This window comes from Homo sapiens, chromosome 16 (assembly GCF_000001405.40).
Source record: "Homo sapiens chromosome 16, GRCh38.p14 Primary Assembly".
NCBI classification, from domain to species: Eukaryota; Metazoa; Chordata; class Mammalia; order Primates; family Hominidae; genus Homo; species Homo sapiens.
This window is the reverse complement of record NC_000016.10, coordinates 46,895,570-46,921,279: the sequence shown is the minus strand read 5'-3', so window position 1 is coordinate 46,921,279 and position 25,710 is coordinate 46,895,570. Positions and strand designations below refer to the sequence as shown.

At 51.8% G+C, this 25,710-nt stretch overlaps 1 protein-coding gene across 8 annotated transcripts in view, besides 6 other annotated features; it reads right to left on the bottom strand.

The window, feature by feature from the left end:
• The window catches only part of GPT2 (glutamic--pyruvic transaminase 2), a 46,928-nt gene that overhangs the window by 10,010 nt on the left and 11,208 nt on the right, over positions 1-25,710 (bottom strand). For 5 of the 8 annotated variants that reach the window (XM_047434812.1, XM_047434813.1, XM_017023790.2 and 2 more), the window contains exons 3-8: positions 23,543-23,632; positions 20,397-20,598; positions 14,305-14,438; positions 11,353-11,596; positions 4,573-4,652; positions 2,523-2,659 (exon numbers count right to left, since the gene is read on the bottom strand). In XM_047434812.1, coding sequence (XP_047290768.1) covers positions 2,523-2,659; positions 4,573-4,652; positions 11,353-11,596; positions 14,305-14,438; positions 20,397-20,598; positions 23,543-23,632 — 887 coding nt within the window. The remainder of the gene's footprint in view (positions 1-2,522; positions 2,660-4,572; positions 4,653-11,352; positions 11,597-14,304; positions 14,439-20,396; positions 20,599-23,542; positions 23,633-25,710) is intronic. The other 3 variants (NM_133443.4, NM_001142466.3, XM_047434815.1) reach the window with 1 other exon arrangement.
• Positions 1,389-1,683: an enhancer, noted in NCBI's record as "tiled region #12922; K562 Activating DNase matched - State 8:EnhW". NCBI's record gives its function as "activates a minimal TATA promoter and a strong SV40 promoter by Sharpr-MPRA in K562 cells {active_cell/tissue: K562}" and the evidence as "EXISTENCE:reporter gene assay evidence [ECO:0000049][PMID:27701403]".
• Positions 2,587-2,686: an enhancer, noted in NCBI's record as "active region_10781". NCBI's record gives its function as "activates an Ori minimal core promoter by ATAC-STARR-seq in GM12878 lymphoblastoid cells {active_cell/tissue: GM12878}" and the evidence as "EXISTENCE:reporter gene assay evidence [ECO:0000049][PMID:35858748]".
• Positions 10,883-10,932: a silencer, noted in NCBI's record as "silent region_7437". NCBI's record gives its function as "represses an Ori minimal core promoter by ATAC-STARR-seq in GM12878 lymphoblastoid cells {active_cell/tissue: GM12878}" and the evidence as "EXISTENCE:reporter gene assay evidence [ECO:0000049][PMID:35858748]".
• Positions 20,845-21,784: an enhancer, noted in NCBI's record as "H3K4me1 hESC enhancer chr16:46933408-46934347 (GRCh37/hg19 assembly coordinates)". NCBI's record gives its function as "activates a minimal SCP1, AML or CMV promoter by ChIP-STARR-seq in primed H9 embryonic stem cells {active_cell/tissue: H9 hESC(primed)}" and the evidence as "EXISTENCE:reporter gene assay evidence [ECO:0000049][PMID:30033119]".
• Positions 23,309-23,981: an enhancer, noted in NCBI's record as "H3K27ac-H3K4me1 hESC enhancer chr16:46931211-46931883 (GRCh37/hg19 assembly coordinates)". NCBI's record gives its function as "activates a minimal SCP1, AML or CMV promoter by ChIP-STARR-seq in primed H9 embryonic stem cells {active_cell/tissue: H9 hESC(primed)}" and the evidence as "EXISTENCE:reporter gene assay evidence [ECO:0000049][PMID:30033119]".
• Positions 24,969-25,263: an enhancer, noted in NCBI's record as "tiled region #10353; HepG2 Activating DNase matched - State 5:Enh, and K562 Activating non-DNase unmatched - State 7:EnhWF". NCBI's record gives its function as "activates a minimal TATA promoter and a strong SV40 promoter by Sharpr-MPRA in HepG2 and K562 cells {active_cell/tissue: HepG2 | K562}" and the evidence as "EXISTENCE:reporter gene assay evidence [ECO:0000049][PMID:27701403]".

Genomic DNA, 25,710 nt, shown 5'->3' with positions numbered 1-25,710 from the left:
ATTGCTTGAACCAAGACCGGGAGGCAGAGGTTGCAGTGAACTAAGATCGCGCCTCTGCACTCCAGCCTGGGCTCCAGAGCGAGATTACATCTCAAAACAACAAAACAAAAATCAAAAAAACCATGCTTTTGGGATCACACTGCTGAACGGAACTGGCAAAGATTCCCATCTGATCCCTGGACTGGACGTTTCAAGGTGGGAAGATAAATTCTAACATCTCAGAAAAGTGTCTGGTAACAAAAATGGAAAGAAAGAACTTTCTGCTTAATCCTTTGCTGATGAGCAGAGAATCAAAATGAGTAAAGCAGTCAGACCCTAATTCATCCAGATCTGAGAACACCGGGCACGACTCAGGATCCCAACATCAGGGCACTGACTGGTAGTGTAATCAATAACTGAGATGGGGCAATGGATAAGTGTGTGGTAAACATGCTTGAGTTTGAAAACTGAGTTCACCGAGAACAGATTTGTTTAGGAAAAGAGCTACAGAGCAAAAGGAAGTCAAGCAAGGAGCCAGAACTGCTACAGGGTAGACCAGAAAGACCAGCCTGTTAGCCTGCGCCCAGATCAAAGAAGCCCAAGAACAGTTTGGCAGCCATCCCAAGGGGACTGCTCCCTTGACCTGGCGGAAGTATTCCTTTGAGCTTCACGCTTACACTGTTCCAGCCTAACAACCAAGAGCCCTCCCCATGCCGACACCTGGCACAGAATAGGACCCCACCACGTTGGGAACACATGCCCTTTGCTGCAAACCCACTGGTCTCTCCTCAGTCTCTGTGGCTTCCTCCTCTTTCCCCTAACCTCCTAGCAGTGGGGGCCCAGGCCCAGGCCTCACTCCATGTACGTATGAGATGTGTCCAGGCTTAGAGCTCCAACAATCTTACAATTCACACCCGGACATCTCCCAAACTTAAACCACCCACCAGAGGTCAGCCTGCCTGGAGACTTACACATCTCTCTCCACCTGGACGCCAAGCTGGCATGTTTCAGTTTAACAGGTCCAAAACCAAACTCCTGCTCTTTCCCCTTAAACCTGCTTCACCCTCAGCCTTCCTCATCTGTTGACTGCAACACCATCCTTCCTGTTGTTTGAACAACTAAAGATTCATCATGCAGTGGCGTCATCAGCTCACCGCAGCCTGGAACTCCTGGGCTTAAGCGATCCTCCCATCTCAGCCTCCTGAGTAGCTGGAAGCGCGCACCACCAAACCTGGCTGAGTTTTAAAACATTTTTTTGTAGAGAAGGGGTCTTGCTATATTATCCAGGCTGATCTCAAACTCCTGGCCTCGAGTGATCCTCCCACCTCGGCCTCCCAAAGTTCTTGGATCACAGGCGTGAGCCACTGCACCTGGCCAGGATTCATCTTTGACTCTTCTCTCCCACACCTGTCTTTTCCACTCACAATTCCTATCAACTCCACCTTCAAATACATCCAGGATCCTCTCCCCATCTCTGTCTGGTGCACGATATCTCACCTGGGAGACTGTAACAGCCTCCTGGCCTCTGTCCCCATCCCCCATCACACAGCAGCCAGAAGGAGCAACACACCAGCTAAGCAAGGCCACACCCCCTCCAACAGCTCCTATCTCATGCTGAACACAAGTGAAAAATACAATCAGCAAAGTGGACCAGGTGACCTGGCCTCCTATAATTCTCAGGTCTCCACTCCTGCCACTGCCCCCGTGCCCCCTCCTTTCCAGCTCCTGGCTGTTCCGCCAACATGGCAGGTGTGTTCTGCCAGCACAGCAGGTGTGCTGCTACCACAGGGTCTTTGCCCAGGCTGCTCCCGCTGCCTGCAATGCTCTTCCCCCAGATATCTGCACAGTTCCCCACCACACTCCTTCGGGGTTTAACTCAGAAGCCAACTCCTCAGTGAGGCTGCACCACTTCAGCCTTCGACCCCACCCCTACCTCTCTCCTAATGACTGTTCTCCGTGGGACGCACGATTTACTCATTTGCCTACAGCTCTCCCCCCTCACTAGAACCCACGCTTTGTGCCGGCAGGAGGGTGTTCGCTGCGGCATCCGCGGTGCTGAGATCAGTGCCGGACTCATCGTAAGTGCTCAGTAAACATTAGCTGAATGAACAGACACAGGATTACAGCTGACCCTTTAGCCTCTGAGGTCACACAGTGCCTAAGGCAGCCCTGCACCCAGAGCACAGCCAGTCAGCCTAACAGCATCTGTTTGTCTGCTCTATCTGCCCTCCCTGACCTCTCAGACATCAGTCAACCTCGGAACAAGTGACAGAGAAAACACCAGGTGTCGCAAGCTGCCATGTAGTCCTGTTTCCACTCCATTTGTCCGTTGTCAGGCTTCTCTGAGCACGCCCTTATTTGAGCCCCTGTACCAGGGCTGTTCTCACACCACGGCTCTCCCACTGGGGAGATGCAGCAGAAGCAACAGATAAGGGCAGCCTTCTCTCCATCCAAGTGGGTGGACCACGGGGCAGGGCAGAGGAGCCGGCAGCGTGAGGATCTGGCAGGCCCAGCAGTGGCAGAGGGAAGGGAGGCCCACGTACTCGCCCATGTAGCCCTTGGAGGTGGAGTGGAAGGAGGCGAGCTCCACGTTGCTGGAGTACTCGGGCCCCATCTCGTACAGCACCTTCTTGAAGGAGTGGAATCTGCAATCTGGAGAGTACACGTTGTCCTGGTACACCTGCGGGGGCACGGCAGGGACGGTCACCAAAGGGTCCTCAAAGAGGCTGCTGCCCAGTGTGGCCAAGGCAAGGGAGGGCACAGGTGCTGTGGGCCATGAGGCCCAGCCGGCCCAGCCTCCTGTGCCATTCCAGGGATGAGCCAAGTGTGCCTGAAGGAACTTTCTGGAATAAGCAAGGAGGCAAGGCCTCAGGCTGGATGCTGAGACAGCTCAGGAGCTCACTTGATTTCTCTCACACTCGTCCCCACCCAATCCCCAGACTTCCCTTCCACCCCATCTGACCAGTGATGGTGCTGAGACCCCCATCCTCCCAAGCAGACTCTCCTCCTAAAGCACGGTGCTTCCTTGCTTTACCAACACTGGTGACGACGGCATTAGTGGCCCTTTCCTCTGACCTCCTATTTGAAGAGCTAACCCTGTTGGGTTTCCTTTGCAACACTTAACCCCCCACTCGAGTGGAATCATTGTGTTCTTCCACCCACTTTTCCCTGCCAGAGCAGCATTTATACCCGTTTGGTTCTTTCCAGTCCCGAGTCCAGCACTCACAGCTGGCAGACACCCACCCTGGCCTTTGAGGTTAATTCCCCATCTATTTTGGAGATCAGAGAAACTGAGCCTTTCTGGGGCCCTGGGGATCAGTCGGAGGGTCAAGCTGGCTCCATTGCCAAGCCAGGCCCTGTCCTCCTCGTCCTCCTCTTCCCAGACCCAGAAGGAAGTTCTGTATACCAGGTTGTGAGGAAACCCATGGGTCTCTCTGCTGCCCTTTCTCTCCTTTAGAAATGAAGATATCAGGCCCATCTACTATTAAGGCAACAATTTGATGGGTAAGCTGTGTGTGTATGTATGTGTGTGTGTCTATGTACGTGTGTCTGTGTGTGTCTGTATGTACATATGTATATGTGTGTATGTCTGTGTGTGTATGCGTGTGTGTGTGTCTGCATTTATGTGTGTGGCATGTGTGGGGGGGTGACAAGGAGCAAAGAAATGAAGGCAGCGGGCTAGAAGCTGCAGCTCGCCGGAAACCATGCAGAAATGAAGAGGAAATAAAAAGAGGATTTGCTGGAACCTCAGTTTCTTTCTTACAAAACAGAAAAAGAATGAGCAGACCCTGGTTCCAGAACTGGAGTTCAAGAAGCAACAGGTACCGGGTTAAGATCCCTTCCTGAGATGTAAGCGAATTAAATGAGACAGTAGATACAGAAGCGCTGGGAGGCACAGAACTGCAGCTTTATGAGGAGTGGGCGTCAGTCATTTCTGCCACTGGGAACCCACCCTCCTTTGTTGGGTAGGAGCCCCCTCAATTGGCCCTCAAGGAATAACCCTCCTTGGTTCTCTATCTGGAGGTTTGGGAGAAGAAAGCAGAGGGCCCACCCTATGCTCTGGGCCTGGCCAATCTGCATACTGGAACCCCTACATCACAGTGATTGGTTCAGCAATGGGCGTGTGACTCAGGCTGAACCAATGAAGCTCAATTCTGAGACTTGCTGCAACCACCAGGGCAAAAAGCCCTCTTTCTAGGCTGGGAATCTCTAGGCTGAAAAGATAACAGGCCTGTGTATGAGGCCAACACAGAGGGGTAGAAAAGGGAAAGAGGACCTGAAAGATAAGGTCCAAGCCCCTGGATCCAGCTGCGTACCTGTGACCCCACTGGCATTTTTTCTTTTTCCTTTTTCTTTTGGAGCTTAAGTGATTTGGGCTGAATTTCTGAAATTTACAACCAAGAGTACAAACCAATAAAGGGGTAAATTAAGTCACAGTCCCACAAGTTGTAAAACTAAATATCCTCACCCTAGGCCAGAATCATTCCTCCAACACCAAGACAGTTCTCTCTGGCTGCAGAACAATGGGGGCTGGGTCCCTCCCTCTAGAAGAGAAAGCTAGTGCCCACTCCCTCTGAGTGGGGACATTCTTACCTCATCAGCCAGGAGAAAGAGCTTCTCTTCCCAGGCAAAGTGGATCACATCTTCTATGCACTTTCTGCTTTGTACCTGGCCTATAAAATCCCCAAGAAAACCAAAATGTCGGTTGTAATGCTGTTTAAATTGTCCCCAGGTCAGAAGCCCATCCAGAATCACTCAGTGCCCTGTGTTCCCTTGAGACCCATAGAACACCCTCCCCGCAGAGGCCCCCCTCCCCAGCTGCCATGCATGATGGTGTAGTCGGCCTCCAGGGACGCCCAGAAGAGCAGCCTGTGTGTCTGACTCTCCTCAGCCAGTTATGCGAGGGAGAAGGGGTTCTCACCTGGCTCTCTTATTTTTTTTTTTTTAATTTTTTTGAGACGGAGTCTCGCTCTGTCACCCAGGCTGGAGTGCAGTGGCACAATCTCGGCTCACTGCAAGCTCCGCCTCCCGAGTTCATGCCATTCTCCTGCCTCAGCCTCCCGAGTAGCTGGGATTACAGGCATGCGCCACCATGCCTGGCCAATTTTGTATTTTTAGTAGAGACGGGGTTTCTCCATGTTGATCAGGCTGGTCTTGAACTGCCAACCTCAGGTGATCCGCCCGCCTCGGCCTCCCAAAGTGCTGGAATTACAGGTGTGAGCCACCACGCCCGGCCCGGCTCTTATTTTTATGAAGGCTTTGTGTGTAGGTGTGGTGTGGTATTTGTAGGTGTGGTGGGGTGTGTGCACGCATACACTCACATGTGCATGTGTCTGTGTGTGGTGTGTTGGCATGGTGGGATGTGTGTGTGTGTAGGTGTGGTGGGTGTGTGTGTGTCTGTGTGGTGTGTGTGTAGTTGTAGTGTGGTGTGGGGTGTATGTGTCTGTGTATGTGTGTAGGTGTGTGTGTAGGTGTGATGGGGGTGTGTGTGTAGGTGTGGTGGGTATATGAGCCTGTGTGTGGGGTGTGTGTATGTGGTGTGTGTGTGAGTCTGTAGTGTGTGTGTGGGTGTGGTGGGGGTATGAGTGTGTGTGTATCTGTGTGTGGTGTGTGTATAGGTGTGTTGAGGTGTGTCTGTGTGTGGTGTGTAATGTGTGCAGGTGTGGTGGGGTATGTGTGTCTGTATTTGGTGTGTGTGTAGGTGTGGTGGGGTGTGTGTCTGTATATGTTGCGTGTGTAGGTGTGGTGGGGTGTAAGAGTGTGTTTGTGTCTGTGTGGTGTGTGTGTAGGTGTGTTGGGGTGTCTGTGTATGGTGTGTAATGTGTGTGCAGGTGTGGTGGGGTGTGTGTGTCTGTATTTGGTGTGTGTGTAGGTGTGGTGGGGTGTGTGTCTATGTGGTATTTGTGTAGGTGTGGTGGTGTGTGTGTGTGCACACACATGTGCATGTGTGGGTGTCTGTGTGCAGTGTTTGTAGTATGTGTCTATGTGTGGTGTACGTCTCTGTGGTGTGTGTGTATGTGGTGTGTGTGTGGTATGTCTGTGCTGCAGAACAGAAAGGCATGGAAGCATCATAAGGAGCAGGGAGAAAAGGCCTGCTACAATGGCTCACGCCTGTAATCCCAGCGGCTTCGGGAGGCCAGGGTGGGAGGACCGCTTGAGCCCAGGAGTTCCAGACCGCATGGGCAACACAGCAACACCTCAACTCTACAATAAAAATTATCCAGGTGTGGTGGCTTATGGCTGTAGTCCCAGCTACTTGGGAGGCTGAGACTGGAGGATTGCTTGAGCTCAGGAGTTTGAGGCTGCAGTGAGCTATGACTGTGCCACTGCACTCCAGCCTGGGTGACAGAGCAAGACCCTGTCTCAAAAATAAAACAAAGAGCAGGAAAATACAACTGCAGGAGTTAAATCTATCAGCTTGTGCCCTCCCCCCCATTACTGCACACCAGCAGCAGATGGTGAAGAGACTCGCATTGGCTGTGGCCACCGGGTGAAGAGTTAGCTTCTTTCTCCCCAGAGAGGCACCCATGAGCTCCACAAGGCAGGGACAAGGCCTCTCCCCGCTCATCGTCTGCCCTGGAAGACAGCACTCAACAGATGCTCAAAAAATAACTGCAGAATAAATGCTAAGTGAATGGGCCTGGGCACCAGCTTTGGTGTCTCCTGTCAGCTGCTACCATGCATCACTAAAGATGAGCACGCTGCAGGACTCAACGCTAACAGAGAACACTTACAACACATTTTATTATTTCTCTTTAATTTTTGAGATGGAGTCTCACTCTGTCACCCAGGCTGGAGTGCAGTGGCACAATCTCAGCTCACTGCAACCTCTGCCTCCTGGGTTCAAGTGATTCTCTTGCCTCAGCCTTCCCGAATAGCTGAAACTACAGGCGTAAGCCACCATGCCCAGCTAACTTTTTTATTTTTTGTAGAGAAGAGGTTTTACCATGTACCCAGGCTGGTCTTGAACTCCTGACCCCAAGTGATCCACCCGCCTCGGCCTCCCAAAGTGCTGAGATTACAGGCGTGAGCCACCGCACCCAGCCCCCATTTTAGAGAAATGAGTGCAAACAGCAAGATAGTGATCCATCCGTTCACACGAAATGCCATGGGTACAGGTGAGGGAAGGAGTAAACGCAACGAGGTAGAAATGGGACCTTCCCTCGGTATTTCCTGAGACCTGCTTTGAGTGTGGCACCGGGAATATCTGATGTGCTCACAATATCCTCTGGAAAACCACCACTATAATCAGGCTTGCTAACTTCTTAACAAGGGCTATGTTTGTTTACTATATGCCTGTGTATATTACATATATATCTAAGTGTGTGTACATATGTTTCTATACATGCATGTATGTATATTCTTTACAGTGTCTTGCTCTGTCACTCTTGCTGGAGTGCAGTTACATGATCCTAGCTCACTGCAGCCTCAAACTCCTGGGCTCAGGCCATCCACCAACCTCAGCTTCCCAAAGTGCTGGGATTACAGGCATGAGCCTCTGTACCCAGCCTATTACTGTGTGTGTGTGTACATATATATATACATACATATATATATATGCAAAACAGTATATAGAGTATCTTACCTTTTTGTTAATAATACCTATATTCTGGTCTATGGAAAAATATAAAAAATATGCCTGGAAAAAACATACACACGTACCTTGTAAGACTGTGGCATGATTCCATTAGAATTTCTATCTTGAACTAGCTAAGCAATGAACCAATTCCTTTACTAACGGACCAACTTTTCTTCTGCCAAGAAAGCACCAACTAGGCTTCCTATTTAAAAAGCTCAGGGTTCTGGGATGCCAGGAGGGTGGCAGGCCCCAGCTTCTATAAGAAACCAGCCACTATTCTCACAGACAGAGAAGGGCTGGTTTCTGAGGACAGCAGAACCTGCCTGTAATTCCTCCTGGTCTTGCCCTTCCATGCTTGTGATGCCACAAACTTTATCCTGTTGGAATGCAAACCAGGATTTGAGCACCAGAAAAGCTGTGTTCACTAAATGCTAAAGGAAACACAAGTGACTAAGCAAGAACCAGAGCCTTAAAAAGACTTCAGCCCAGTAAAGGAAATGAGACCCAGTGTGTGCAAATAATACTGCTGTTACACACAGCGTGAGGATAAGGGCAGAACTTAGTTCTCTCCAGCGCCTCAGAGCATGCCCGCTGAGCCAGTGAACAGATAAGTGCATGAACAGTGGCGCAGGAGAAGGGAATGTCATAAATGGCATTAGAGAAGCCAGGGCACAGCTGGGGGAGACATGAGACATGGCTTTGATACAGGCCCCAAAGGCTGGAGAGGGGTCTCCCAAGTACCTTTCGAGGCTGGGCCAAATTAATTCCCCAAAAGCTGATGGGAACATCTGTAGCTGGTGACTGAGCATCCTCCTTTGAGTGACAGATCACGACTGTTCACGTAGTTTGGATGTTTGTCCCCACCCAAATCTCACATTGAAATGTAATCCCCATGTTGGAGGTGGGTCTAGTGGGAGGTGTTTGGGTCAAGGGAGCAGACCCTGAAAGTCTGCGGCATCCCCTGCCCCGCCCTGATTCTCTCTCTTGTTCCTGCTCTTGCCATGCGATGTGCGTGCTCCCCCTTCACCTTCCGCTTTGACTGGAAGCTTCCTGAGGCATCCCCAGAAGCTGATACCACCATGCTTCCTGTACAGTCTGCAGAACTGTGAACCAATCAAGCCTCTTTTCTTAAAAATTACCCAGTCTCAGGTATTTCTTTATAGCAATGCAAGAATGGCCTAATACCACTGTCCTATGGGGAACTCCAGCGGGAGGCCTGGGACACAGAGCTGCCAATCAGAGTCCCAGGGATTTGACTGGTTCAGGAATGGGCAGGTGACCCAACTTGGGAATGGTGAAACTCTGGAAGAGGCTCGGCTGTAAGGCAGCTCAGCTGATGGCAATGGCTGAAAGTGCTGAAGCCACTCCAAGGATGGATTCTTCCTGAGGACTGCAACCCAGAGGAAGGTACAGCTGAGGAGGGTACCGAGGCTCCTGTGACACGGACTCTGACTCAGGCGCACTGCTTCAACCCTGCACTCCACAGTTCCACCCTCCAATCCCTTCAGTCTCAAGTTGGGTTTCTGTCTTGAAACCAAAAGGGTCCTGGTTTAAGAACCCAGTCCACTCTGACACCTTTAAGCCACCCTGGTCACAGTGTGTGGTCCAGACAAGACATATGGTCATCACAGGTGGGTTTCTATTTTCCAGAGACCCTCTTCTCACAGCTGACTGACTCTCACACAGTGAAGACCCCGGGAGCAAGGCCAGGTCCTGCCCACTCATAAAGTTATTCTTTATAAAAATTACTTATGTCAATATATCAGATTAATAGAAAATGACCTCTTTACTCAGAGCAGGAGACTTCTCTGGTACAATGACTTCTTCTCAGTCAGGTGAAAAGATTTATGTAAACACCTGGCCAAGAATGTGTTGACTCTGTGATGTGGACTAGGTACAGTGTCTTTCCCAAGATGTTGCAGAACTTGCTACCCCAAGTGTGGTCCTGGGCCCGGCATCAGTATCACCTGGGAATTTGTTAGAGATGCAAACTCTCAAACCATACCCCGGCCCAATTACATCCAAGTGTCTGAAGTGGGGCCCCGCAGCTTGGGCACCATGCTTCTGAGGCAGTGGGTCTCAGCCTCGGCAGCACAGGCTACCGATATCTCAGAGATCCTAGGGTGTGGCCTCAATTTTGACATTTTTCAAAGTTCCCTTTGTGATTCTAACGTACAACCAGGATTGAGAAGCCAGCTCTATGTTATTTTCCTACTGAATCTTTATCCCCCACACTCCCAGGAGCTGGGGTAAACAAGCCAGTGGTATCGCCAGCTGCACCCATTTTCTGCACTCGGGAATTCAAGGGGTGTTTTCAGCTGACTGAAGCATCATTTGATGTTCCCGAGAAACAGATTCCACAACCAACTCCAATGCATTTTGGCCCTGACCCAATTTATCTCAACAAAGGAGGAGAGAGGAGCCCTTGTTCCCTGTGTCCAAATAGCACTGGGGGCATATGAAGGCAGCGGCCCAGAAAGATCAAAACAGGCAGGACTGCAGACTTTTTTTTAAAGAAAAATATGCAAAATTGGGGGTGCTTTTCAACTTCTGGAAATTAGTGGTTTTTTTGGTTTAGTTGCTTTTGTTTTGAATATGACATTTTCCTCTCAGGCCTTAAAGGTACACAGCAGTGCTGTATCAAAGAAAAACCAACACACACACCAGCATTCTCAAATCCAGTTCAGAAAAATAAGGAAGAGTGACGGTAAAATGAGGCCTATGATTAACGGTAAGTTTGTGAGTAAATAATCTCAAGGAGGCAAGTCTTTGCAAATGAAGAACAGGGGAAAAAAACACCCAAAAAACCAGTCTTAAAAATAACAATACAACCCTGGCTGGGTGCAGTGGCTCATGCCTATAATCCCAGTGCTTTGGGAGGATCACTTGAGGCCAGGAGTTAAGACCAGCCTGGGACACACAGCAAGACCCTGTCTCTACAAAAATAAAAAATTAAAATATTAGCTGGGCGTGGTGGTGCTGCCTGTAGTCTGAGCTACTCAGGAGGCTGAGACAGGAAGATCTCCAGGAGTTCAAGGCTGCAGTGAGTTATGATCATACCACTTGCACTTCAGCCAGGCCTGGAGCCACAGAGTAAGACCCAATCTCTATAAAATAATAATTATTATTCAAACTGCCCCAGAAAATGTCTGCATTTACTCACTTTTTAGACAAGGTCTCATTCTATTGCCCAGGCTGGAGTGCAGTGGCATAATCTTGGCTCACTGCAACCTCTGCCTCCTGGGTTCAAGCGATCCTTCCACCTCAGCTTCCCTAGTAGCTGGGACCGCATGTACCACCACACCTGGCTAAGTTTTTTTTTTTTTTTTTTTTTTTTTTTTGAGACAGAGTCTCGCTCTGTCACCCAGGCTTGAGTGCAGTGGCGTGATCTCAGCTCACTGCAACCTCTGCCTCTGGAGTTCAAGCAAATCTCATGCTTCAGCCTCCTGAGCAGCTGGGACTACAGGCGCACACCACCATGCCCTGCTAATTTTTGTGTTTTTAGTAGAGACAGGGTTTCGCCATGTTGGCCAGGCTGGTCTCCAATTTCTGACCTCATGTGATCCATCTGCCTCGGCCTCCCAAAGTGCTGGGATTACAGGCATGGGCCACCGCACCTGGCCTACTCACCTCTTGAGGTGGCCTGTGGCAAATTTCATGGCTTTAGGTTAGCAAATCTGGAAGGGAAACTAGGGGCAGAGAGACCCTCCAATTATTTAACTCTGGTTTCTAGACAGCCAGTGTATCAGCCACCCCCACCCTCTACGAAACTGGTGAGGAAGTAAAGTGCAGACCTGTGGGGTTCCCAGGGTTGATTATGCAGAGCACCTTAGGATCACAGTGGTCTTTGGCCTCCTGCACCGCCCGCCGGAGCTCATTCACATTCAGCGCCCAGCAGTTCTCCTCGTCCAGGTAGTAATTCACCTGGATGGCGTCGAGCTCAGAGATGACAGCTGAATAGAGGGGATATTGTGGGATGGGGATCATCACACCTGTCCGTGACTTGCCGCCCCCGGAGACGAGGATCTTCAGGATCGTCTGCAACAGAGAATTCACATCTAGAAAGCCAGCACTACTTCCCATCCCTGACCTAGCCTTTCACCCGTGGCCCCACTGCATGCCTCCAGTCCAACTCTGTGCAAGTCGCTTTACTTCCCCGAGTCTCAGTTTCCTCATCTGTAAAATGAGGGCAGCTGCGAGGAGTAAGCAAAATACAACATTCTAAAGTTCTCAGCACAGTGCAGAACGTGTAGTTAATGACTCAGTACTTAGGCTGGGCACGGTGGCTCACGTCTAAAATCCTAGCACTTTGGGAGACTGAGGCAGCCAAATCGCTTGAGGCCAAGAGTTCGAGACCAGCCTGGGCAACACAGTGAGACCTCCACCTCCCTACTTAAAAATTTAAAAATATTATTTTTCTTTTAAAAATATATATTTTTAAACAGACTCAATACTTGTATTTTTAATACTTCTAAAATAGTTCCCACACTAGCCCTGTCTCAGAATTATTCTGACCCTGCTCCTGTAATCCTGATTCCCTATGTCAGGGGTGGGGCCCAGGAATGTGTGTTATCAGTATTAGTGCCCAAGGTTGGAAAGACCCCACCCCACACCCACCCCAACAGGGGACTCTTAAAATGGGATAAAATACCCATCTACTGCCACCAGGTGGCGCTTTGACCTGTTTTCCAAGCTGAGCAGGATGCTTGTTGAAGATTTCTGAGAAACCAGGCCATGGGATTCCTTTGGGGTATTGGTGGATGTGCCAGTAATTCATTGAATTAATTAGACAAAACCCTCTGCAGGGAGAGTCTCCACCTTAAACACGGGCATAGGTCCTTTTTCAGACTCAGTTCCTTGCTACAAAAATGCCACGAGATTTTAAAGTACAATGACTTGATTCTTTCCACTGAATCTTGTGGACACGCCCCCTTCCCTCCTCCAGGACCTCTTCCCACACTGGGCATTTCTGGGATTCAAGAGAGGCCTTGACAGCAGAAGGCAATGGAAGATGATGTGATTGGTAGCTGGAGCTCCAATGTTAGAGTCCCAAATGTCACAAGAACTGACTCTAGGCAGGTAGACCACTTAATGTCTCTGGGCCTCCATTTCCCATGGGCTCCAATAAGAGCTTAACGTGTAAGAAAGGCTTTGGGAAAGGAAAAAAGCACTCAACAAACAAGAGCCTTACAGGTCAGGAAACAAAGCCCCATTAAAGGAAGCGTTCAGACAGCACATGGCTCCCTGAGAACAGATGAGTTGACAGCACCCAGCACCATTCCAGGCCCTGGGAGGCGTGTGCAGAAAGGGATAGGCAGGCAACCAGTCCCCCCACCCCAGGACTGCAGACTCCACCAGTCCCCCAAGCCCAGGACTGCAGGCTCCATCAGTCTCCCAAGCTCAGGACTGCAGGCCCCACCAGTCCCCCAAACACAGGACTGCAGGCTCCACCAGTCCCCCACCGGGACTGCAGGCTCCACCAGTCCCCCGCAAGGACTGTAGTCCACCACTTCCCCAAGCCCAGGACTGCAGGCTCCACCAGTCCCCCAAACACAGGACTGCAGGCTCCACCGGTCTCCCAAGCCCAGGACTGCAGGCTCCACCGGTCTCCCAAACCCAGGACTGAAACCTCTACCAGTCCCCCAAACCCAGGACTGCAGGCTCTACCAGTCCCCCAAGCCCAGGACTGAAACCTCCACCGGTCCCCCAAACCCAGGACTGCAGGCTCTACCAGTCCCCCAAGCCCAGGACTGCAGGCTCCACCAGTCCCCCAAGCCCAGGACTGTAGACTCCACTGCAAGTAACTCCACTGCACTCCAGACTGCAAGTAACCACTGGCCCCAGCCCTCCCCGACCCCATCGGTAGCTGACCCCAGCCCGAGATACCTCCTTTTGCCTCCTGTGCCCCTCCCAGCCAAAATTAAAACTTAGGAACAGAAATCTAACTGCTCCACCTCCTTCTCCTTCAAACCCTTCAGTGGCTCCCTGTTGTTCTTAGCACAATGACCCAAATCCTCAGCATGGCCTCTAAGGCCCTGTACTGGTGCCAGCTGCCTTGCCAGCCCACGCCTGGTAACTCCGACCCTTGCTGTGCACTCATCCCCCAGCATCTCCAGTTCCCAGCACTCAGACTCCTGCCAGCTCTAGGCCTCTGCACACAGTGACCTTCAGCTCAGAGCACACCCCCTCTCCCAGTTCACTCCTGTGTGTCCCTCAGGTCGGTGTCTACTCGGCCTTCCTTGGAGACTTCCTGCCCCCGCTCCACCAGGTCGGAGTTCCCACTGCTCCTTCCCATAACACCCTGTCCTTCTCTACTGCAGAAGAGAAACTAAAAGCTTGTGATGTGCATTTATTTTTGTGATATCAGCTGGTCTGCTCTGCCTGTGTAGGCAGAGGCCAAATGATGTGTTTGGTTTCCCATTGTCTCCCCAGCACCTGGCACAGGAGGAACACCAGTACGTGCAGAACCACAGAAAGGCCAGTGGCTACCCTCGGGTGTCCCCCGGCTTCTCTGCAGCTGGACCTGCTGGTGTGCACTCCGGACAGAAATCGAGGCTGCAGTAGTGTCTAGGCTCATGAAGACTAAAAGAGGCAAAGACTGCAGGCTGCCAGGGCTGGGGGACCAGAGGGTGGCCACCCGTGCTGCCACCCTCCCTGCTAGCCAATTCCAATGCTGGGCCCTAACAGGCAAGGCTGCTCTTCATGTGGGTAAACACCGGATAACAACGAGCCACCCTCACACGTACAGAAATGCCGTCACTAGCTCCCGTGGTCAGGTAGATGTTGTCGGGGTCCGCAGGCACACCGCCATCCCTCCTGGTGATGTAGGCAGCCACATCTTCACGGATGCAGTTGACACCCTGGCTAGCACTGTAGGACCCTGTAAGACAGCAGGCAAGACAGTAACAGAGGCAGGATGTCTGGCTCCACAGGGTCAATATAATTAACATCCATATAATTAGAGGGATGCCTGTTTGGGGTGAGGGTCTCGGGGTGGGGCCCAACTCCCATTGCTTTGGAACTGTGGGAAACTGCTTAACCACCTGTCTTGGCTTCATCCACCCACCCCTCTATCCATCCACCCATCTACTCATCCACCCACACATCCATCCACTCATCCACTCACTCACCCAGTACTGACTGAGTACCTACTATGCGTTACACATTATTCTAGGCCCTGGCTTCTACTCAGTCAAATGGTGTCCACAACTGTTCCACCCACCCTCCTCGGATTTATATGTGATCTGTGACAATGTCAGTCACTAGAGCTGGGATTCCCATGCCTTTACCATGGTTGCCTACACATGGTTCCATAGGACTTGAGAGAGTGGGCCAACACTTAGGCTCCAAAATAGCACCCCCTGGGCTGGGCGCAGTAATCCCAGCATTTTGGGAGGCCAGGCAGGAGGATGACTTGAGCCCAGGAGTTTGAGACAAGCCTGGTCAATGTGGTGAAACCTCAGCTCTACAAAAAATACAAAATCAGCCAGGTGTGGTGGCATGCGCCTATAGTCCCAGCTACTTGGAGGCTGAGCTGGGAGGATTGCTTGAGCTCAGGAGGTAGAGGCTGCGGTGAGCTATGATGACACCACTGCACTCCAGCCTGGAGTGAAACCCTGTCTCAAAAAAATAAATAAAAATAAAAACAAAAACCCCACATTAGCACCACTGGCCAGCCCCAGGCACCCAGGGCTCTGACCAGCATCAACCACAGAACCCTGGGACTGCAAGGCATCCTCCAGCCTCCAGTCCCATGTGAACATACCCTCCCGCTGCCATTTAGGGTTGAAAGCCATTTATACTAAGTTCAAAAACAGGTAAAACTAACGAATGGTCCTGGAAGCTGAGCAGTGGTTAACTGCTCTGGGGTGGGGGTATTGACTAGAAAGACCCATGAGAGAGTGTACAGGGGGTTGGCAGCTCCGTATCCAGAGCCTGGTGGGGAGACATCGATGTGTGCATGTGTGAAAGGTATTCCAGCTGTACGTTAACATTTTTACCTCCATAAAAAAGATTTTTTTAAATGTCAGGCCGCTATTTAGGTTTTTGAAAATAAAATGGAAAGATGTATTTGTACAGGTGCAAGATCTCTCTGGAAGAAGACTCAAACTGGTGAGGTGAATTCCCTGTGGAAGTGCATGGGGGCTGGGGGTCAGATGTGGAAGGCAGATGTTTCATTGTATATTCTTTTAGATCTTTTGAATTTTACACTGCATTTAAAGAAAACCAGACTATTCCTTCTGTGGTTACTGCAAAAACCACCCCCAGGAGGCAGGATGGCGACTGGAAGTAGCAGATTCTCCTCTGGGGCCTCAGCATGCATCAGTCCAGGCCTGGCATCGAGGAGGAACACAGTCAAATGCTCTGAACTGGGGTCGGGCGCAGTGGTTCACGCCTCTACTCCCAGCACTTTGGGAGGTTGAGGCAGGCAGATCACCTGAGGTCAGGAGTTCGAGACCAGCCTGGCCAACATGGTGAAACCCCATCTCTAAAAAAAATCAGCCAGGTATGGTGGCAGGTGCCTGTAATCCCAGCTACTCAGGAGACTGAGAAAGGAGAATCACTTGAACCCGGGAGGTGGAGGTTGCAGTGAGCCAAGATTGCGCCACTGTACTCCAGCCTGGGCGACAGATTGAGACGGTCTTTAAAAAAAAAAAAAAAAGCCCTGAACTGGAATCCCCTAGCTCTGCCTCAGCCTCTCTGCGCAGCATTGGGCTCTGCACAGCTGTAAAAGGAACAGCCAAACCAACACTCTAAGGTGCCAACTGGCAAACGTTAACTTGTGTCACTCTGGGTGGTGGGCATGGGCTTCTGTCATGTTATTTTGAGTATTCTAATACATTTGGAGTATTTTGTAAGTTTAAAAAAGGGTAGGTGCAGATGCTGGTGTTAGAGCCCTCCCCCAATAGGTGATTTAGTTGCTATTTCTGAGCTTCTGTAAGAGAGACCTTCTAGGACTCCTTGCTTCCCTTCACCCCTTTTCAATGCCCCACCTTCTCCTCCTCAAGGCCTCCCATTCTTCCTGCCTCTAAGAGCATCCACTTCCCTGAACACCCAGGCCTTCACCCATTAGCAAGCCCTCTGCTTCTCTGAATGTTACTTCTGCGGGTCACAGACTTTCTACCCTTCCAAGGAGGCTCCTGGGTTTCTTTTTCTTCAGATCTCACGTTATGCTCCAAACCACACTGATCCTTCTAGGCTCATTTCTAGTCTGTCTCCCGGAGGCCTGCCCTAAAGATTCTGCTCCACCTCCAGCCAATCTCTCAGCCTATAATTTCTCCAGTTACTTTATTATGTATTAGTTTATTTAAGAGACAAGGTCTCACTTTGTTGCTCAGGCTGGTGTGCAGCGGCACGATCATAGCTCACTGCAGCCTTGAACTCCTGGGCTCGAGCAATTCTCCCACCTCAGCCTCCCAAAGTGCTAGGATTACAGGTGTAAGCCACTGTGCTGGCCCCTCCAGTTATTTTGTACAGAAGCAGCCCTGCCCTCCCCACGCTGACTCTTGACTCTTGGTTCCTCCAGGGCAGGGGCTGTTACCCGTTTCTTCTGTGCATTTCTCTCGGAGCACCTTGCCCACTGCGGGCTGTGCTCCACTACACCCTGCTGAGGACCCACTGCCAAACTCCCACCTCATCGAACACCACTGCCCTAGGGCCCCTTCATTCAGTCACATGGAGGTCCCAACTTTAGGGCCTTTGCACACACTGTTCGCTGGTCCGGCATGCATTTGCAGGTTCTTACTCATCCTCCCCATGAGCGTGAATGCCACGTTTCCCCTTAAGCTCTTCCTCTCCATTAGAGCCCCTCGTTATAATCCTGCAGCTCTCTCCGAGATCTCATGAGAACTAGTGATTACACATTCGTATATATTCTTTTTCATGTTTGTTTCTCCCAAATCTGATAGCTTTGTGAGCACAGAAGCTCCACCCACCTTGCTCACCAGTGTCTTTGGTGTCTAGAACACAGCCTGGTATGTACTCAGGGAGGGGCTTGACAAGGGCACACAGCTCCTGCCCCACCCCAGGCAGGTGCTAGGTTTTACCTCAACCCCATTGAGATCCAGGACAAACCTGAGAACCAAATTGCTCGTCAAACAGAACATAAATGAAGTTGCTGGGTGTGGTGGCTTATGCCTGTAATCCCAACTACTCTGGAGGCTGAGGCAGGATGATTGCTTGAGCCCAGGAGTTCAAGAGTAGCCTGGACAACAGTGAGACCCTATGTCTACAAAAAATATAAAAGTTGGCTGAGTGTGGTGGTGTGTGCCTGTAGTCCCAGCTACTTGGGAGGCCGATACAGGAAGACTGCTTGAGCCCAGGAGGTCAAGGTTACAGTGAGCTATGATTGCACCACTGCACTCCAGCCTGGGTGACGGGGAAAGACCCTATCTCTTAAAAAGGAAAAAAGAAAAAAAAAACAAAAACATGAAGCCCTGCTAAGAAATAATATATATTTTTTTCTTTTGGAGGGGACAGAGTTTCACTCTCATCACCCAGGCTGGAGTGCAATGGCATGATCTCAGCTCACTGCAACCTCCACCTCCTGGGTTCAAGCAATTCTCCTGTCTCAGTCTCCCAAGTAGCTGGGATTACAGGCACCCGCCATAATGCCTGGCTAATTTTTGTATTTTTAGTAGAGACAGGGTTTCGCCAAGTTGGCCAGGCTGATCTCTAACTCCTGACCTCAGGTGATCAACCTGCCTTGGCCTCCCAAAGTACTGGGATTACAGGTGTGAGCCACCACGCCCGGCCCAAGAAATAATTTTAAAGGGTATGATAAAAACACATCCTGAGTGGCCAGGCGCGGTGGCTCACGCCTATAATCCCAGCACTTTGGGAGGCTAAGGTGGGCAGATCAGGAGGTTAGGAGTTCAAGACCAGCCTGGCCAATATGGTGAAATCTCATCTCTACTAAAAATACAAAAATTACCCAGGCGTGGTGGCGCGTGCCTGTAGTACCAGCTACTCAGGAGGCTGAGGCAGAAGAATCGCTTGAACCCGGGAGGCAGAGGTTGCAGTGAACCAAGATCGTGCCACCGCACTTCCAGCCTGGGCAACAGAGTGACACTCTGTTTCAAAAAAATAAATAAAATCTCTGGATGAGCTTCAAGACTTTGTATACATATTTAATAATCTCCCTGTGGGTCAGGGTGGCCATGGAGCATAGTGACATGCTCCATTTCTTTTTACTCCTGTGGGCAGAAAAGTGCTCAGGCTGCCCAGAGCGTAGGTGACAGAGAGCGACACCACTATGTCCCTGTCACGCGAAGGACCACACTGTCCTGCCCCCTGGAATGGGCAGGGCTTGTCTACAGCTAACAAGGGGCTTTAGCACACATGAACCTTCCTTGCAAGCCGAGGAGGTGGGTACAAAGTACTTCCTGGCTGAAGGATGAGAGAGACTCCAAGGACTCCTACCTCACCTGTTTATGAGGTCCTGGAACAGGGCTTAGGGTGGGTCCCAAAAACCATGAGGGCCAACTGGTCTTTTGCTGTAATACCCCACGAGGGAACTCACAGGGACACAGTCTCTCAGCCCCACTACCCCAGCTCTGGCTCACACGAAGTTGCAAAAACCTGTTGATGAGGCTTAGCACGTGGAACAAAAATCCGTACCTGGTCCCCAGACACTCGCATCAGACACACAAAAGGCACATTCCCCTCCCCCTGCCTCTCAGTTGGGGGCTTCCAGGAGTTTTAGGCCCATGGCCACGGGGTCTTTGGGAAACACCTTTGCCCTTGGGGCCAGGCAGAGGGTGCAGGGGGGAAAGGAGCCCGGAAGCCGGGCCTCTGGGCTGCAGGGCTGCTTTCTGCCAGCCTGTGGTTTAGGTCTTGGCACACAAGGCCCCAGCCCACACCCCATCCAGGCTGGCAGGTGGGAAAGCAAGGGGCAGCTGGCCCCCTCCTGAGAGAGACAGTGTCCAGACTCAAAGGGAGGGCAGGGGGGCCACAGCCAGGAGGGTAAGCACAGGGCCGTCAATAAGGGACGGAGCAGAAAAAGTTGGCGGGGGTGGCGGGAGATGGAGACAACAAGGGGGGCCACTCCCCTGCTGAGCAAGCCACGGGAATCTGTCCCCACCCTCAGCTCCACTTTCGGGAACATCAGGGCTCATATCCTAGGAAGACTCTAAGAACAACAGCAGTTTTCCTCAGGGCGAAGGAAGCTGGATTCCCAGCGTGGGTGCTGCATGAAGGAACCAGCAGAAATAAACAGAGGAAAGAAAATGACAGAACAAAAACCTGGAGGCCCAGAGGCTGGAACTCCATCACCGCAGGGGAGGGAGAGAATCATCTTCACATCTACAGGGGCCAAGTTCCAGGTCCACTCTGTGGAGCCTGGTGCCACGTCAGGATGCAGACATTGGGGCATGGGTCCCTGAAAGGATGAGTGAGGGCCGGCTTGAGGGGAACACCATGAAGTACCAGGGGGTACTGGCACCATCAGACTGAAGAAAGCCAGAGAAAGGGGCTGGAGGGGTCCCAAGGTGCTTCCCTTCCCTAGCAATTGGCTGCCATCTCCAAGACAGTGCAGAGACATGTTCAGAGCTGGAGGCCACAGAGAGGCAAGGATGCTGAACAAAACTGAGCACTGCGTTTCTACCTGGCCTCCAGCTGCTGGGTGAAACCTGCTGTGACGAAGGCAGGCTCAGCTGCTGTCCAATGAGGCTGGCTCCCAGGAGGAGCACCCACACCCGGCATGATGCAGGCACTTGCACCTAAAGGTGGCACCGGCACCGCCTGCTTAATAAACGAGGCCAGCAAGGTGTGAGTGGGAAGAGGACGCTATTTTTTGTTTACTCTGTGTGCTGTCAGCCACCCACACACGTTCACACACCCATTCGCATGCAGGACCCTCCGCTTGAGGCTGGGGCCGCCTGGGAACACTCATTCATTTCACGCCTAGGGGCCTGGCAAGTTGGGGCCTCACCCAGGCTGTTCCCGCCACAAGCCTGCAGGATCCGCCGGGCACGTTTCTTAGCATCTTCTGGGAAGCTGGGGCTGTCCAGCAGGTTTGGGTAGGTGCATAGTGCCATCACCTGGGGGAACAAGACACAGGCTGAGCTCCCAGCACCCCCACTCCTAGAGCTCCAGGAGGAGCACAGAGGCCACTGGGAGGATGACAGCTCCCAGGGATGGGGCTGACGCAAGCCTCTCTGCGAGGACTCAGCCTGTGGGAGCTTGGGAGTGGGAGGGGAAGACGCTGGGCTCTCTGCAGCAGAAGGGGAGAAGTTGAGAGTTGGGATGCACTATGACCTGGGCTGCTGGAAGAGAAGCCAATGATCAGAATGAGGCTGCTACTTCGCCCCTGGCCCAAGCTCTTCCGCTAGGGACAGTGGGCTCACACACCCAAGGCACAATCAGGGGTTTGCAGAGCAGGGGGCAGGCGATGCCCAGCTGGGTGGAGCATGGCTGCAGAACCCCCTACTCCCAGCCTGAGCTCCCTCAACGCCCTAGGCCCCCTCCCCCTGCATTCCTCATCACCCCCTTTCCTCCCTAGATGAAAACTGGACCAGCTTTCTCTTCTCTGTAACAGAGAACATCACCCCAACCCCACAAATTAAGAGGATTAAGCAAGCAAATGTGTACAAAAGTGCTGGTAACCCCAGCTCGCCCGGCAAGTTGAGGCTGGCACTGAGGAGCCAAGCCAGGTGCACTGAGGGGGTCAGGACTTGTGGCTCTGACACCAGTGGGGTGACTTCAGCGAGCGCCTGGCTTCATGGAGCCCAGCTTCTCTTCATCTGCACAATGGGCACTGAGCTGGCCTGCCCGCCTCCCAGGTGCACCTGCGCAGGTCAGAGGAGATGTGTGAAGGCTAGAGGCAGCTGGCACCAGGCTGGAGAGGCTGGGCCTGCCATGCACAGTGGCAGGGCTGGACCTGGGAACACGTCTCCAGCAAATAAGGCTGAGTAAGGCCTGTTCTGAAGCCTGCCACAACTTAAACCCAGGCCCATGAGGGGACCTCTCCTGAGAGGCCACTCTCACTTGGCCCTCCCCTTCAAAGCTCACGCTCCAGGGAAGTCAGGGCCCTCTGGCCTCCTCCCACCTCATTTCCCTGGCAGAGCCACTCTGTGTGGTCTGATTCATTTCCCCTTCCTGGGCCCAGCATGGGGACTCTAACATCCAGGGCTGCTGGCCTGCTCCAAGGGTCAGCAGCAGTGGCTGTGGGAGGGAGGCCCAGTGAGCGCCCCTCAGACCAGGGCCAGCCTCAGCTCCTCTCCCTCACTGCCCTGTGACAACTCCCTCAGGGGCTGTGGGCTGAGCCCTCCCAGCCCCTCCCCAGCCCTCTGCCCCAGAGAACAAGGCAGGGAACAGGGAACTGGTGTTCTTGGGGCTCAACCTCCCTGATGGCCCTAGCCCATGAACCTTAACCACACACAGCACTGCATTTTGATCCAAAATGGGCCTCAATCCCAGTGTGGCTCAGGAGGTTGAGGCAGGAAAGGATTACTTGGGTCCAGGAATTCGAGACCAGCCTGGGCAACACAGCAAGACCCTGTCTCTACCAAAAATTTTAAAAATTAGCTGGGTGTGGTGGCATACACCTGTAGTCCCAGATACTCAGGAGGCTGAGGCAGGAGGATTGCTTCAGCCCAGGAGTTTGAGGTTACAGAGAGCAGTGATCATGACAATCGCACTCCAGCCTGGGCAACAGAGCAAGACTCTGTCTCTAAAAAAAAAAAAATATATATATATATATATATATATATATATATATATATGTGTGTTATATATATATATATATGTGTGTGTGTATATATATACACATATATGTGTGTGTATATATATACACATATATATGTGTGTGTATATATATGTGTATATATATACGTATATATATATATATATGTATATAAATATAAATAAAACAGGCCAGGTATGGTGGCTCACGCCTGTAATCGCAGCACTTTGGGAGGCCGAGGCAGGCGGATCATTTGAAGTTAGGAGTTTGAAACCAGCCTGGCCAACATGGAGAAACCCCATCTCTACCAAAAATACAAAAATCAGCCAGGCGTGGTGGTGCATGCCTGTAATCCCAGCTACTCAGGAGGCTGAGGCAGGAAAGTTGCTTGAACCCAGGAGGTGGAGGTTGCTGTGAGCCGAGAGCATACCACTGTACTGCAACCTGGGCAACAAAACAAAAACAAACCTGGGCGACAAAACAAAAACAAAAACAAAACCTAAATAAAACAAAACAGGCCTCAGTCCTTCTAGAAAAAGCTGTCACACACTGGGTCTCCCGCCTCTGTCCTGCCCTGGGGCATCTCCCACCCCACCGCCTCCAGCCCACCAATCCCATAATCCCACAATCCCGGCCCAGGCAGCACTCTCGAGGTTAGTGCTCAGACTGAAACATGGAAGCCGCCTTCTCCTGGAGCCTGAGGAGGGAGCTGGGTCACTGCAGAGGCAGCCAGGGGTGCAGCGGCTCACAGTGGCCGTCCCCAATCTGGAGCTCCTGTGCTGGGCCCCAGGAGGCCTCTGCACTCATCGCCTCACCAAGGCCCGGCAATCTCCCGAGGCGGCGCTCTGCCAACTTCCACCTGCCCAAAGCCACCCAACTGGTACGCAGCAGAGCCCACACTCACACCCAGGAGGGTCTCAAGTGGGAAGCCACATCCTGCCCCCACCATGACACCTCCTGCTGCCCCCCGACGCCTCCTCCCAGCCCAGCCAGCCTTTCCCTGTCCTCTGGGCTGCCGCCTACCCCACCACTGCCTTTGCCCACCAAGTTCCTAACTCAGCTCCCAGGACCCCGCCTTGTGGAAGAGTCTCCCTGGGAGGCTCCTACACCAGAGCAACCCCAAAACAGGTCTGGGAATTTTCAACAACCTCAGAAAGGCAGGAAGGAGGCTAAGGGAGACAGCCAGAGGGTATCAGGCTGGGAGGGCCTGGACATCGAGGGGGCAGAGGACGGCCCCTATGACGGCCCGCCCAGCCCAGGGCCCTGCCCTCCTGCAGCCTCTGCTCCTGGGGGCGGCTCACCTGCCGGAGGAAGGTGATTGGCTGCTGCCCCATAGCCTGGGCGTCCCCGATGTTGGCTCGGATGACCTCTGTGAATGGCTTTTTGATACCCTGGGCAGAGAGAAAGCAACAGGTGGTTACTTAGAAACTCTTAAACCCTGGATTCCAGAGGCCAGGCAAGGTTCCCGCAGGATATTAATAAACAGCCCTATTTTGAGGCTTACCAAGTATCTGACTTGGTGCCAGGCCTTTGACATGCCTGGTCTCATTTAACCTTCACAGCCACCCCATGAGGAAGAACTAGTATTAATCCCATTTGACAGATGAGGAAATCAAGGCTCTTAAAGGGTAGAAACTTCCTCAAGGTCACATAATTTTATTTTTTTGAGACAGAGGCTTGCTCTCTTGCCCAAGATGGAGTACAGTAGTGCCATCTCAGCTCACTGCAACCTCTACCTCCTGGGTTCAAGCAATTCTCGTGCCTCAGCCTCCCGAGTAGCTGGGATTACAGACGTGCACCACCACACCCGGCTAATTTTTGTATTTAGTAGAGACAGGATTTCAACGTGTTGGCCAGGCTGGTCTCCAACTCATGTGATCCACCCACCGCAGCCTCCCAAAGTGCTAGGATTACAGGCGTGAGCCATTGCGCCTGACCAACATAATTTTATTTATTACTTATTGTTACTATTTTGTAGAGACAGGGTCTCACTCTGTCACTCAGGCTGAAGTGCAGTGGTGTGATCATGGTTCACTGCATCCCCGACCTTCTGGGCTCAGGCGATCCTCCGCCTTGGCCTCCCAAAGTGTTGGGGTTACAGGGGTGAACCACTGTGCCCAGCCACATAACTGATTAATGTAAGTGCTGGGAATGAATATAAGTACAGGAAGACGGATTCCAAGGTCACTCTTCTTAACCACTATGCTCCTCCTCTGCCTCCCACTTTCCAGAAGGGCTGGAAGAGCTTTTCTGGCTGCCCAAGCATCCCGAACAGCTGCTGCTCCGCTGCCTGACTGCCACCACACAGGGAAGTCTAAAAGGCAGCTCCGGGCCAGATGTGTGGGAGGGAGGCAGGGGTCAGCAGCAGAACATGCCAAATGTCAGGCACACAGGGTCCCAGACTCCTCTGCATCCTGCCCCAGGCGCAGCTCTACCGCAATGGTCTAAATGACTAGCCAGGGACACTGAGGACACCCTCCCCATCGGAAGACATGGATCAGCAGGGAATCCTCAGGGTCATTTTCTTGCAACCCATTCTTTGCAGAATGAAAAATCTGGGCTGATTTTCACATTAAAAAAAAAAAAGCATCAGGGATTAAAAAGACTGACTGAAGAGCAAATTGAGGCCACTGCCTGAGCAATGTGTGTAGCACAGAAGAGAGATCACAGAGAGAAGTCCAAGACCCTTGTGACATCACTGGGGAGGTGACAGAAGGACACCATGGCTGCTGCAAAGGCGAAAGCAGAGCTTGACATAGAGAATTACAGGGACCTGGAAACGTGGGAATCCTGCACATTTCCCTGATAAACCCAATCAGCCACTGGGAGAAATGCAGTCAACAACAGGTTCAAGGACTTCCCAGGGCAGCTGAAAGGATTACCTGAAACAAACAGTGTGAAAGCCCTTAGCAGAGTACAAATATCATCTTACAAAAGCCGGCCCAGGAACAAGGTCACCAGGGTCACAGTGGGAGGAAAAACGGGCTCAGCAAGGTGGTGGCCACAGCCCGGGTGGGAGGGCCTGGCCTTTGTCCTGTCTCCAGCTGCCCCTTCCCCAAAGGTACCCCAAATACAAATTTTACAGATATAACTCTGTGCTTGTGACACTTGTCTTTTCTCCTTTTCATGCAATGTGTGAATAAAAGCAACTTTAGAAGACATGGCCTTTTCAAAATCAGTAATGTACACCTTAAGTAAAAACCAGTGGCTGGACGTGGTGGCTCACACCTGTAATTCCAGCACTTTGGGAGGCCAAGGCAGGAGGATCCCTTGAGGCCAGGAGTTCAACAACAGCCTGGGCAACACTTTCAAGTTGCCCAAGACCTTGTCTCTACAAAAAATTAAAATTAGCCAGGCATGGTGGCACATGCCTATAGCCCCAGCTACTGGGGAGGCTGAAGTGGGAGTATCACACTTGAGCCCAGGAGTTCAAGGTTGCAGTGAGCTATGATTACGTCACTACTCTCCA